Below are 11,738 nucleotides of genomic sequence, written 5' to 3' on the forward strand. Positions count from 1 at the left end.
GTCCCAGCTACATGGGAGGCTGAGGCAGGAGAACCGGTTGAACCCGGGAGGCAGAGGTTGCTGTGATCCGAGATCCTGCCACTGCACTTCAGCCTGGGCAATAGAGCAAGACTCTGTCTCAAAGAAAGAAACAGAGAGAGAGAGAGAGAGAGGAAGGAAGGATTATTAAATACATGCAGTGAAGCTGGGCATGGTGGCCCACCCCTGTAATCCCAGCTATTCAGGAAGCTGAGGTAGGGGGATTGCTTGAAACCAGGAATTCAAGACCAGCCTGGGCAACATTACAACATCCCATCTCTAAAAAAAAAAAGAAAAAAAAAATTAGCCAGGTGTGGTGGTGTGTGCCTGTAGTCCCAGCTACTCAGGACGCTGAGGCAGGAAGATCGCTTGGTCTCAGAAGGTTGAAGCTGGAGTGAGCTGTGATCACACAAGTGTACTCCAGCCTGGGCAACAGAGCGAGACCTTGTCTCAAAAAAAAAAAAGCAATGAGAGACAGACATCAGGAATAGAAGTCACAGGTCTGTCTTTTGCAACAAATAAAAATATCTTAAACCTATTTTGCAAGGAAAAAAATAAAAGTTAAGGAAAACTCTGCATGTTGTAATCACATTTTCTGGGGGAAATAAGCTGATGGGGGATCCCCAAGATCATCCTGATGTTCCATGATTTGCTAGAAGGACTCAGAGAACTTAGCAAAGCCATTATATTCAGGGTTATGATTTATTACAGTGACAAGATATAGAATAAAATCAGCAGAGGCAGCTCACACCTGTAATCCCAGCACTGTGGGAGGCCGAGATAGGAGGATTGCTCAAGGCCAGGAGTTCAAGACCAGCCTATGCAATAGAACAAGACTCCATCTCTACAAAAAAAAAAAAAAAACTTAAAAATTAAGCAGGCACAGTGGCACATAACTCTAGCCCTAGCTACTTGGGGGGCTGAGGTGGGAGAATCACTTGAGCCTCAGAGTTTGAAGTTACAGTGAGCCATGATCAGACCACTGCACTCCAGCCTGGGTGATAGAGAGAGACCCTGTCTCTGTAAATAAATAAATAAATAAATAAATAAATAAATAAAACGAAATCAGCAGGGGTTGGCTGGGCGTGGTAGCTCATGCCTGTAATCCCAGCACTTTGGGAGGCTGAGGCGGGTGGATTATTTGAGGTCAGGAGTTCAAAACCAGCCCGGCCGACATGGCGAAACCCCATCTCTAGTAAAAATACAAAAATCAGCTGGCGTGGTGGCGGGCATCTGTAATCCCAGCTACTCGGGAGGCTGAGGCAGGAAAATCACTTGAACCCAGGAGGTGGAGGTTGCAGGGAGCTGAGATCATGCCACTGCATTCCAGCCTGGGTGACAGAATGAGACTCTGACTCATACACAAACAAGAAATCAGCAGGGGCAAAATGTGCATGAGGCAGAGTACAGGAAAGAAAAGGTGAAAATATCCAGTTTTCCTCTCCCAGTGGAATCATGTGGACAGGGCTTCATTCTCCCAGCAGCAATGTGTGACAACATGCATGGTGTACTGCCAACCAGGGAAGCTCTTCTGAGCCTGGGTATCCAGGATTTTTATTGTGGCTCAGAACTAGCTAACCACCTGTGTGGCTGACCTCAGTCTTCAGCCCCTCTAGAGGTCCACCTGATGCTGCATGGCCCAAGACCCCCACCATAAATTACGTTGTTACTACCTGGTGTGGCCCAAGGCCGTCCTCAGGCAAACAAAGACAGTCTTATCAAGGCAGGACACTCCAAGGGCTTAGAGGGCATATTCCAGGAGCTGGACAAAGGCCAGATCTTTCCTTGGACCAGGTTAACCCATCATGCATAGGATGACACCATCTCAACCTGCCACCTTACAATCAGGAGAAGCTGTGGCTGGGCGCAGTGGCTCATGCCTATAATCCCAGCACTTTGGGAGGCCGAGCAGATCACTTGAGGCCAGGAGTTCGAGACCAACCTGGCCAACATGGTGAAACACTGTCTCTCCTAAAAATACAAAAATTAGCCAGGCATGGTGGCATATGCCTGTAATCCCAGCTACTTGGGAGGCTGAGGTGGGAGAAACACTTGAAACAAGGAGGTGGAGGTTGCAGTGAGCCGAGGTTGTGCCACTGCACTCCAGCCTGGGCAACAGAGTGAGATTCCATCTCAAAAGGAAAAGAAAAGAGAGAAGCTGGGATGGGAGCTGGTGCCAGGGCAGGGGGGTGTCTGGGCCAGAGTTATGAAGACTTGAGCCATGCAGGCACCTCCCGGTAATGACAGCTGCTCCCTCCAGCCCCACCAAGGCCAGCCTGTATGGAGCCATCCTCTTCACCCTCCAGCAGACCCGCTGGCTCCCAGTGTCCAAAGCCAGCCTCATCTTCATCTTCACCTTGTTCATGGTGTCCTGTAAGGTAAGCCTTTCTCTTCTTGCAGCATTCTTGCCTTGACCAATGCCACCCTGCCACCTCCAGGTTGGGAGTGGGGAAATTGGACACTCCCAGCCTTATGTGGCTGGGACAGGCAGCCCAGAGAGGGGAGATGCTTGCCAGTAGGTCACTGGGAAGAGAGTTTAAAAGGCAGTGTCCAGCAGCCAGGACACAGATGAGAGGAACAGGCCTTCTGTGTAAAGGACCCAGCCTGAGCCAGGGTCAAGGTGGGCCCACTCTCTTGGGTACAGAGACCAGAGGGACAAGAAGCTGAAATGGCAGCATCAGGTACCCAGGAACTCAGTTGGACCAGGAATACTTCTAGTCTGACAGTCATGCCTTGAGTTGACATCACCCCACCCAGGAGGGGTCTTCAGGGGCTGGGCTCTCTCCCTCTGCATGAAGATCTTAGCTCAGGGCTGTGTCTTCCCTGGGTGAGGACTCCAGGGCTGTCAAAAGGGAGTGAGCATGTCTTCCTGCATTAGGCGAGAAGGGAGAGGCAAGCAGATGGCTGGGATCCTGTCCTGCTATGTTTGTAGCTCTACCCCAGGCCAAATGTCTTAGTCCATTCAGGCTGCTGTATAACAGAATGCAGTACCATAGACTGGGTGGCTTAGAAACAACAGAAATTTATTCCTGGGCAGGCACGGGGGCTCATGCCAACACTTCAGGGGGCCAAGGCAGGCAGATCACTTGAGGCCAGGAGTTCAAGACCAGCCTGGGCAACATGGCGAAACCCCATCTCTCCTAAAAATACAAAAATTAGCCAGGCGTGGGGTCACATGCCTGTAATCCCAGCTACTCGGGAGGCTGAGGCAGGAGAATCGCTTGAACCCGGGAGGTGGAGGTTGCAGTGAGCTAAGATCGCACCACCGCACTCCAGCCTGGGCAACAAATTGAGACTCTGTCTCAAAAACAAACAAACAGGCAAACAAAATACAAATACAAAAATTAACCAGGCGTGGTGGCGCATGCCTGTAATCCCAGCTACTTGGATGGCTGAGGCATGAGAATTGCTTGAACCCAGGAGGTGGAGGCTGCAGTGACCTGAGATCATGCCATTGCACTCCAGTTTGGGCAACAGAGTGAGACCCTGTCTCCAAAAAAAGGAAAAGGAAGAAATGTATTTCTTACAGTTCTGGAGGCTGGGAAGTCCAAGATCAGGGTACTAGCCTGGTCGGGTTCTGGTGAGGGCCCTCTTTACTGGTTGCAGATAGGCAGCATCTCACTGTGTCCTCGCATGGTGGAAGGGACTGGTTAGCTCTCCTGGGCCTCTTTATAAGGGCACTAATGTCTTTCCTGAGGGCTCCACCCTTATGATCTAATTACCCCTCCAAAGGCCTTACCTCCTAATACCATCACCTTTGTGATAGGTTTCAACATATGAATTTGGGAGGACACAGACCTTCAGACCTGCACTTAGCACAGCTTTTCTCTGAGCCCAGGTGTCGTGGGGAATTCTGGGGGATGGGTGACCAGCAGTCTCAGTGTGCTTGGAACTTTCCAGGGGTCAACACTTGAAATCTGGCATCCTGGGAAACCTGAGATGGTCGCCCATCATCCTGGGGGTGCATGCAGCCAGAGGGCTGGGTCTGGGCTACCTCCAACCTTGACTTTGATGACATTCTCTCCCCTCTTCTCCCCACCCTGCCCTCCACTCCTTTGCTTTCTACCTTGGTCTCCCTCTGTCTCTCTTGCTGTCTCCCTGGCCACCCCACCTCAGGTGTTTCTGACAGCCACCCACTCACACAGCTCCCCCTTTGATGCCCTGGAGGGCTACATCTGCCCCGTGCTGTTTGGTTCGGCCTGCGGGGGTGACCATCACCACGACAACCATGGTGGGTCCCACAGCGGTGGTGGGCCAGGAGCTCAGCATTCGGCCATGCCCGCCAAGTCCAAGGAGGAGTTGAGCGAGGGCTCCAGGAAGAAGAAGGCCAAGAAGGCGGATTAGGGGGTGGCCCAAGGGGCACCGGGGAGAGGACCCGGACCCAGGACCCTCTGAGCTGGGAGGCTTCCTGCGCTCAGATCTATCCTTTCCTGGCCTTGACTTCCCCATCTGCAAATCAGGGTCATTGGCTCACCCTCCAGGGCTGATGTGGGGGTTGAGATATGGGGATGAGGATGAAGAACTTTTGTAGAAATCGGGGTTCCCTCTTTCTCTCTGCCAGGACCCCATAGAGTCACAGCTTTTGGAGGGGTTCACAGAATCCTGGCAGCAGCTCCAGTCAAGAATGTCACTGGTTGGCATGATATTCTTAGTTGTATTTTTCCTTCTTTAAAATTGCATCTTGACCAGGCACAGTGGCTCATGCCTATAATCCTAGCACTTTGGGAGGCCGAGGCGGGCAGATCACCTGAGGTCAGGAGTTCAAGACCAGCTTGGCCAACATGGTGAAACCCCATCTCTACCAAAAATACAAAAATTAGCCAGACGTGGTGGTGCACGCCTTTAATCCCAGCTACTCGGGAGGCTGAGGCAGGAGAATCACATGAATCCAGGAGGTGGAGGTTGCAGTGAGCTGAGATCTTCCCACTGCACTCCAGCCTGGCCAATAAGACCTGTCTCCAGCAAGACCCTGTCTCAAAAAAAAAAAAAAAAATTGCATATTGACTCCTGAAGAACTTCAAGCCATGTTGAGATCCATTCATTTGATGGACATTTTCTAAGTACCTGTGAGCCAGGTGCTGCCATTTCAAAGTCTCTTCTTACCACGCTCCTCAGTGGCTAGACATTTTCACGTGGCCAGAAAGTCCCGACTCTTGCTGGGCGTCCCTGGACAAGTTGCCTTCCTCCTCTGAGCTTGGCGCTCCCCATCTGTATAGTGGAGACCCTTGGCCCCCCTCTGTACGGAAGGGCCGATGCGAAGCTGCAGTTAAAAAAGGCTCACATGCTCCTAGCCTCGTGCAGTCAGGAGGGGAGACCAGGACAGTTGGAAATTATGATTGCAAATGGCTTTGCATTTTAGATCATTCGTGTGTGTGGATCAGAGAAACGCACAAGTTCCCTGGCACAAAGGAAGCCCTCAGTAGACACGTCTAGGGCAGGCTTGAGAGATCAGATGGCGTGAAAGGCTTGTGATCTGTTCGTCTCAGGCTCCCCCTAAACCAAAGAAATGGAAACAGCTGGTTGGGGTTCCACGATCCAGCTCTATCAAGGGGCTCTGAGTGTGCACAGTTGGGACCTGGATGTATCAGGTCTCCCTCAGGCTGGAGTCCACTGTCACTCATTCAGCCATTGAACAAACATACAGATGCTTACCTGCTCTGTGGTCAGCCTTGTGCTGCTGCTGGGCGGGCCAGGAGCCTGCTTCAGTGTGAGCGAGGTGGATGATATTATAGCTGAAGGGTCCCTCCTGGTCACCCTCATCTCAGCCTAGGTCACCAGGATGTCTGAGAGGGGTGGGTGCATGGGACGGGCGTGGCCAGTCTCAGGTGAGGTTTGGGCCCAGACCTCGTTGGAGTCCCAGACGTTGCCAGGCTGTTGGAAAATTGCCTTGTTCCTGTGATGCCTGGGAGTTAGGTGGGTCCTGGGGAGGTTTCATCCTCTTGCTTGTCCACCTCAGCTCGGTGTGGAGGGGCAGCCAATAAATCATTGTGAATGAACCCTCATGGCTTGTCTGATTTATGCCTGGGATTTTGTTTTTTGTTTTTGTTTTTGTTTGAGACCGAGTCTCACTCTTGCCCAGGCTGGAGTGCAGTGGCCCGATCTTGGCTCCCTGCAACCTCCACCTCCCGGGTTCAAGCAATTCTCCTGCCTCAGCCTCCCGAGTAGCTGGGATAATAGGTGCCCGCCATCACACCTGGCTAATTTTTGTATTTTTAGTAAAAGCGGGGTTTCACCATGTTGCCATGCTGGTCTTGAACTCCTGACCTCAAATGATCCACCCACCTTGGCCTCCCAAAGTGCTGGGATTACAGGTGTGAGCCACTGAGCCCAGCCACATGCCTGGGATTTTGGCCTCAAGATGTGGGGATGGCTGGGCATGGTGGCTCATCCCTGTAATCTCAGCACTTTGGAGGGCTGAAGCGGGCAGATCACCTGAGGTCAGGAGTTCAAGACCAGCCTGGCCAACATGGTGAAACCCTGCCTCTACTAAAACTACAAAAATTAGTCAGGTGTGGTGGCAGGTGCCTGTAATCCCAGCTACTCGGGAGGCTGAAGCAGGAGAATCGCTTGAACCTGGGAGGTGGAGGTTGCGGTGAGCTGAGGTGGAGACATTGCACTCCAGCCTGGACAACAAGAGCAAAACTCATTCTTTAAAAAAAAAAAAAAAAAAAAAAGGCTGGGCATGGTGGCTCACACCTGTAATCCCAGCACTTTGGGAGGCCAAGGCAGGTGGATCACGAGGTCGGTGGATCACGAGTTCAGTAGATCAAGACCATCCTGGCTAACATGGTGAAACCCCATCTCTACTAAAAATACAAAAAATCAGCTGGATGTGGTGGCGGGCGCCTGTAGTCCCAGCTACTTGGGAGGCTGAGGCAGGAGAATGGCGTGAACCTGGGAGGCAGAGCTTGCAGTGAGCGGAGATCGCGCCACAGCACTCCAGCCTGGCAGACAGAGCGAGACTCCATCTCAAAAAAAAAAAAAATGTATACTGTGTACAGTATACATTACATACATTATATGAAATCCTAGAAAAAGCAAACTAATGTATAATTACAGAAAGCTGATCAGTGGGTGCTTGGGGAAAGGCAGGTAGGGTGGGGTGGGCAGGAGGGATTTTGAAGGGGCAAGGGGACATGAGTGATGAGTCTGTTAACTTCTTTGATTGTGTTAGTTTCTCGGGTCTATACACATGTCAGAACCTATTACATTGTACATTGCAAATACACACAGTACCTCATTTGTCAGTGATGCCTCAATAAAGCTGTAAAAAAGAACCCTTCAATTATAAGGGAAAAAAGTGCGAGCTTGGTGGCTCACGCCTGTAATCCCAGCACTTTGGGAGGCTGAGGCAGGAGGATCACTGGAGCCCAGGAGTTGGTGATCAGCCTGCACAACATAGTGAGACTCTGTCTCTACAAAAAAAAATTTAAAAATTAGCCGGGGGTGGTGACTCGTGCCTGTAGGCCCAGGCACTCTGGAGGTTGAGTGGGGAAAATCACTTCAGCCCAGGAGGTTGAGGCTGCAGTGAGCTAAGATTGGGCCACTGCACTTCAGCCTGGGCGGAACAGTGAGACCCTGTCTCAAATAAATAAATAAAATAAGAATAAAGTAGAAAAAAACTCCACACCAAATTGGGCAAAAGAAGCTGGGCATGGTGACTCACACCTGTAGTCCTAGCTACTCTGGAGACCAAGGCAGGAGGATCACTTGAGCCCGTTAGGTGGTGTCCAACCTGGGCAACATAGCAAGACCCTGTCTCAAAAAAAAACTGGGCAAAAGATTTGAATAGACACCACCAAAGAAATTATATGGTTGGCAGATATCATATAAATTGCACATTAAAACCACAAGCATATGCCACTGCATACCTGTTATGAATTGAATTGGGTTCCTCTCAAATTCATTTGTTGAAGTCTTAACCCCTAAGGTATTAGGGGGTGGGACCCTTGGGAGATGATTAGGTCATGAGGGTGGGGCTCTCATAATGGGATTAGTGCCCTTACAGAAGAGGCCCCAAAGAAACACTTTGCTCTTCCTACCATGTGAGGACACAGAGAGAAGACACGTATGAACCAGGAAGCCGGCCCTTACCACACAGTGAATCTGCCAGTATCTTGATCATGAACTTCCCAGCCTCCAGAACTGTGAGAAATAAATTTCCGTTGTTTATAAGCCACCATTTTCTAGTATTTTCTTGTAGCACCCTAAATGGACTAAGACAGGAGATAAGGCCTTTTTTTTTTTTTCTTTTGGAGATGGAGTTTCCCTCTTGTTGCCCAGGCTGGAGTGCAGTGGCGCCATCTCAGCTCACTGCAATCCCTGCCTCCCAGGTTCGATCGATTCTCCTGCCTCAGCCTCTGGGATTACAGGCATGTGCCACCACGCCCAGCTAATTTTTTGTATTTTTAGTAGAGACAGGGTTTCACCATGTTGGCCAGGCTGGTCTGGAACTCCTGACCTCAGGTAATCCACCTGCCTCGGCCTCCCAAAGTGCTGGGATTACAGGGGTGAGCCACCGCACCCGGCCTAATTTTTTTGTAGAGTTGGGGTCTCCCTATGTTACCCAGGCTGGTCTCCAGCTTCTGGCTCAAGTGATCCTCTTGCCTTGGCCTCCCAAAGTGCTGGGATTACAAGCATGAGCCACTGCTCCCCGCCACCTTTTAGAATGGATAAAATAAAAATAACCGACAATATCCAGTGTAGGTAAGGATTTGGGGGCAGCTGGAACTCACACACTGCTGGTGGGAGACAATTGGACAGTTTCTTTTAAGGTTTTTTATGTTTTTAAAATTTTTAATTTTTTACATTTTTTTTTGAGACAGGGTATTGCTCTGTCGCCCAAGCTGGAATGCAGTGGCTCAATCTTGGCTCACTGTAACCTCCGCCTCCTGGGTTCAAGCGATCCTTCCACATCAGCCCCCTGAGTAGCTGGGACTACAGGTGCATGCCACCATGCCTGGCAAAGTTTTGTATTTTTTGTAGAGTCGGAGTCGTGCTCTGTTGCCCACACTGGCCTTGAACTCTTGGGCTCAAGCAATCCTCCTGCCTCAGCCTCCCAAAATGCTGGGATTACAGGCGTGAGCCACCATGCCCAGTCAGATACACATCTTCAGCCATGAGAAGAATGCAAATCAAAACCACAGTGAGTTGTCACTTCACATCCAACAAAATGGCTAAAATTAAAATGACAATATGGTCATTTTAGTGCTGGTGAGGATGTGGAGCAATAGGAACTCTCATATGCTTTGGTAGGAAGGTAAAAAGGTGCAACCACTTTGGAAGACAATTTGGCAGGTTTTTTTATAAGTTAAACATAGAAGCCAGGTGCAATCGCTTACGTCTGTAATCCCAGCACTTTGGGAGGCCAAGGTGGGCAGATCACTTGAGTTCAGGAGTTCGAGACCAGCCTGGTCAACGTTGTGAAACCCTGTCTCTGCTACAAATACAAAAAATTAGCCAGGCGTGGTGGTGTGCACCTATAATCCCAGCTACTTGAAGGCTGAGGCGGGAGGAGCCCTTGAACCTGGGATGGGGAGGTTGCAGTGAGCTGAGATTGCACCGCTGCACTCCAGCCTGGGTGACAGAGCAAGATTCTATCTCCAAAAAAAAAAAAAAAAAAAAAAAAAAAACCAAAACAAAACAAAACAAAAAACAAAATGTTAGCCTGGCACAGTGGCTCACCCCTGTAATCCCAGCACTTTGGGAGGCCGAGGTGGGCAGATCACTTGAGATCAGGAGTTTGAGATCAGCCTGACCAACATGGTGAAACCCCAACAAGGTGTAATTTTGTAAAAATACAAAAATTAGCCAGGCATGGTGGCACCTGCCTGTAATCCCAGCTACTCAGGAGGCTAAGACGGGAGAATCACTTGAACCCAGGAGGCAGAGGTTGCAGTGAGCTGAGATTGCGCCACTGCACTCCAGCCTGGGTGACAGAGCAAGACTCCGTCTCAAAAAAAAAAAACCAACAAAACAAAAACACTATAAGTTAAACATAGGGTGGTCATGGGTGACTCACACCTATAATCCCAGGGCTTTGGGAGGTGCAGGACGGAGGACTGTTTTAGCCCAGGAGGTTGAGGCTGCAGTGAGCTGTGATGGTGCCACTGTACTGAAGCATGGGTGACAGAGCAAGACTCTGTCTTTAAAAAAACAAAAATGTGAATAAATGAACAGCTGTGCTCCGCCCATAGTATTGCCTACTGTTCAGCGAAAAAAAAAAAAAGGCGGTGGAGGTGGTGAACATGCAAAAACATGAATGAGTCTCGAATGTATCCAGATTGGTGGGAAAAAGCCATACAAAAAAGAATGTGTAATATAGGCATCCATTTATCTGAAATCCTAGAAAAAGCAAACTATTGTAACAGAAAGCTGATCAGCATGTGGTTGGGGAAAGAAGGACAGGGTAGGGCAGGTGAGAGGAATTTTGCAGTGGCACCAGGAAACTCGGGTGATGGATCTGCTGATGGCTTTGATTGTGCTGGTTTCTTGGGTCTATACCCATGTCTGAATCTATTAAATTTTACTTTTGGGTTTTTGTTTTGTTTTGTTTTTTGAGATGGAGTCTTGCTCTGTCACCCAGGCTGGAGTGCAGTGGCACGATCTTGGCTCACTGCAACCTCTGCCTCCTGGGTTCAAGTGATTCTCCTGCCTCAGCCTCCTGAGTAGCTGGGATTACAGGTGCCCACCGCCATACCTGGCTAATTTTTGTATTTTTAGCAGAGACAGGGTTTCACCATGTTGGCCAAGCTTGTCTCAAACTCCTAACCTCAGGTGATCTGCCCGCCTCGGCTTCCCAAAGTGCTGGGATTACAGGCGTGGGCCACCGTGCCTGTGCCTGGTCTAAATTTTGCTTTGATTACTTAAGATTTAAAAAAAAATTAACTTTTTTCTTATTTATTTATTTAGAGAGACAGAGTCTCGCTCTGTCGCCCAGGCTGGAGGGCAGTGGTGCAATCTTGGCTCACTGTAACCTCTGCCTCCTGGGTTCAAGCAATTCTCCTGCCTCAACCTCCAGAGTAGCTGGGATTACAGGTGCCCACCACCACGCCTGGCTAATTTTTGTATTTTTAGTAGAGACGGTTTTGCCATATTGGCCCGGCTGGTCTCGAACTCCTTGCCTCAAATGACCCACCTGCCTCAGCCTCCCAAAGTGCTGGGATTACAGGCTTGAGCCACCACGCCGGCCTCTTTTTTATTTATTTTTAATTAATTATTTTTTACTTCTTTTTTTCCCACTCATTCAACCTAAGTACTTAAAAGTTTTCATTTTATATATGCATAGTTCATCTATCAGTTATGCCTCAGTAAAGCTATAAAAAAAGAAGCTTTCAATTATAAGGAAAAAAAGTCTGGGCATGGTGGCTCATGCCTGTAATCCCCGCACTTTGGGAGGCCGAGGCCAAAGGATCACTTGAGCTGAGGAGTTCATGACCAGCCTGGCCAACACAGTGAGACCCAGTCTCTGCAGAAAAAAAAAAAAAAAAAAATTAGCCAGTTGTGGTGATGTGAGCCTGTAATCCCAGCTACTCAGGAGGCAGAGGTGGGAGGATCGCTTGAGCCCAGGAGTTCGAGGCTGCAATGAGCTGAGATTGCACCACTGCACTCCAGCGTGGATGACAGAGTGAGACCCTGTCTCATAAATAAATGAATAGGCTGCAGTAACATACTCCAGACAGAGTCGCTTAAGCCACAGACATTTATTTTTCCCTAATTCT

At 49.5% G+C, this 11,738-nt stretch overlaps 1 protein-coding gene across 1 annotated transcript in view; it reads left to right on the forward strand.

Annotated features, from left to right (window-relative positions):
• TMEM38A (transmembrane protein 38A) overlaps positions 1 to 6,014 on the forward strand; it is a 28,885-nt gene extending 22,871 nt beyond the window's left edge. Inside the window, exons 5-6 of the mRNA NM_024074.4 lie at positions 2,279 to 2,396; positions 4,135 to 6,014. Of these exons, the coding sequence (NP_076979.1) occupies positions 2,279 to 2,396; positions 4,135 to 4,362 (346 nt within the window). The 3' untranslated portion in view covers positions 4,363 to 6,014. The remainder of the gene's footprint in view (positions 1 to 2,278; positions 2,397 to 4,134) is intronic.
• The last annotated feature ends 5,724 nt before the right edge of the window (positions 6,015 to 11,738 follow it).

Source organism: Homo sapiens, chromosome 19 (assembly GCF_000001405.40).
Source record: "Homo sapiens chromosome 19, GRCh38.p14 Primary Assembly".
Classification (NCBI taxonomy): Eukaryota; Metazoa; Chordata; class Mammalia; order Primates; family Hominidae; genus Homo; species Homo sapiens.